The 2,507-nt window shown below is 37.4% G+C and overlaps 1 annotated feature.

Annotated features, from left to right (window-relative positions):
- Positions 1,826–2,022: a silencer, noted in NCBI's record as "fragment chr2:149596595-149596791 (GRCh37/hg19 assembly coordinates)". NCBI's record gives its function as "represses an EF-1alpha promoter that drives an FKBP-Casp9 reporter gene in an ReSE screen in K562 erythroleukemia cells {active_cell/tissue: K562}" and the evidence as "EXISTENCE:reporter gene assay evidence [ECO:0000049][PMID:32094911]".

Consider the following 2,507-nt stretch of genomic DNA (forward strand, 5'->3'; position numbering starts at 1 on the left):
ATTTTTAGTAGAGACGGGGTTTCACCATGTTGGCCAGGCTGGTCTCGAACTCCTGACCTCAGGTGATCCACCCGCCTTGGCCTCCCAAAATGCTGGGATTACAGGTGTGAGCCACCAGGCCTGGCCTCTACTTTGTATTTCTATAGATTTGCGTATTCTGCACATTTTCTGTATATGAAAGCATACTAGATGTGGTCCTTATGACTGGCTTCTTTTATGTGGCATAATGTTTTCAAGGTTAATCCAAGTGGTAGCATTTGACAGTACTTCATTTCTTTTTATTGCTGAATAGTATTCCATTGTGTGGCTCTACTGAAGATTTTAAAAAATTTCTTCTTAGGTCACTTTAAGTAGTTTATGTTTTTATAGGTTGTTCATTTCATATAAGTTAATCACTTGGCTTAGAATTGTCTGTAGTATTTCCTTATTTTCTTTTTATTTCTGTAAGGTCAGTAGTAATGTCCCTTCTTTCATTTCTGATTTTAGTAATTTTTCTTTCTTCTTTTCCTTGTCAATGTAGTTAAGGGTTGGTCAATTTTGTTGATCTTTTTGAAGAACCAACTTTTGGTTTCATTGATTTTCTCTATTGCTGTCCTACATTCTCAATTATCTCAGCTGTAATCCCTAGGCATTACCATATACATGTTATCAGAATTCACTTGAGTTTTATTCCAACTTAATTCCAGTGAGATATAGAAATGTTACTTCTAGATAGCTCTATTCCTTCTTCCCTGTTTTTGTGCTATTATTGTTATACATGTTATATCTATATATGTTACAAACCCAACAATACATTGTTAAAACTATTACTTTATATAATTTTATGTTAATTAAAGGGACTGACAAAAGAGATGAAAAGCAAGCATATTTTTATAGAGGTTGCTTTATTTACCTTCTTATTTATTATTCCCAGTTCTCTTTGTTCCTATGGGTCTGAGTTATCATCTGGTATAATTTCTTCTCTTTTTTTTACTTTAGAGACAGGGTCTTGCACTGTCATTCAGGCTGGAATACAGTGGTGCTATAACAGCTCAATATAACCTTGAACTTCTGAACTCAAGTGATCCTCCCACCTCAGCCTCCTGAGAAGCTAGAACTACAGGTGTGCATCATCATGCCTGGCTAATTTTAAAATTTTTTTGTAGAGATGGGGTCTCACTATGTTGCTCAGGCTGGTCTCCAACTCCTGGCCTCAAGTGATCATCCCGCCTTGGCTTCTCAAAGCACTGGGATTACAGGCATAATGGTGTAATATCTTGCTCCAGTACAACTCTGTTCACACCCACCTCCTTTGTGTGGTTACTGTCATTTCTATATGTTATAGGTACAATAATACAGTTATATACATATTATCTTATAAAATGACTTTTAAAATCAGTTGAGAGAAAAAAGATGCATTTACACTATCTTTTATAATTACATCATTACCTTTACTGCTGTGTTTTGCTCTTTCATGTGGATTTAAAATTTCATCTCGTTCACTTGCTTTTAGCCCTAGGAACTTCATTTATTTCTTATAAGGCAAGTATGCTGGCAATAAAGTCTCTCATTATTTGTTTATTGGGAATTTCTTTATTTCACCTCAATTCTTGAAAGATAGTTTTGCTGATGTAATATTTGTGGCTGGCAGATTTTTTCTTTATGTTAAACATGTCATTCTTTTGCCTTTTAATCTTCATTGTTTCTGCTGAGAAGTCAGATGCTAGTCTTTCTGGGGTTTTCTTGCCTGTGATGAACAGCTTTTCTCTTTATCTTTGATTTTCAGCATTTTTTCTATGATGTGTCTGGCTGTGCATCTCTACATTTGTCCTGCTTGAGGTTCATTGAACTTCTTGGATGTGCACGTTGTTTTTCAGCACACTTGGAAAGTTATCAACCATTTTCTCTATTTATTTATTTATTTATTTATTTATTTTGAGGCGGAGTCTCGTTCTGTCGCTCAGGCTGGAGTGCAGTGGCGCGATCTCAGCTCACTGCAAGCTCCGCCTCCTGTGTTCATGCCATTCTCCTGCCTCAGCCTCCCGAGTAGCTGGGACTACAGGTGCCCACCACCACGCCCGGCTAATTTTTTATATTTTTAGTAGAGATGGGGTCTCACCGTGTTAGCCAGGATGGTCTCGATCTCCTTGACCTCGTGATCTGCCCGCCTCGGCCTTCCAAAGTGTTGGGATTACAGGCGTGAGCCACCGCGCCCGGCCCATTTTCTCTTTAAATACTCTTCCTGCTCCTTTCTCTTTCTTCTCTTCTTCTAGTACTTCCATTACACATATGTTAGTGCACTTACAGACGTCCTATATTTCTCTGAGGCTCTGCTTATTTTTCTTTATTGTATTTTCTCTCTGTTCCTTCGGTTGTATAATCTCTATCAATATATCATTAAATTTGCTCTTTCTTTCTTCTGGCTAGTTCAAATGTTCTGTTGTGCCCCTCTAACTAACTTTTCATTTTGGTTATTGTACTTTTCACCTCCAGAATTTTCATTTTAATAATTGGCAAGGCATGGTGGC

Source organism: Homo sapiens, chromosome 2 (genome assembly GCF_000001405.40).
Source record: "Homo sapiens chromosome 2, GRCh38.p14 Primary Assembly".
Taxonomy (NCBI): Eukaryota; Metazoa; Chordata; class Mammalia; order Primates; family Hominidae; genus Homo; species Homo sapiens.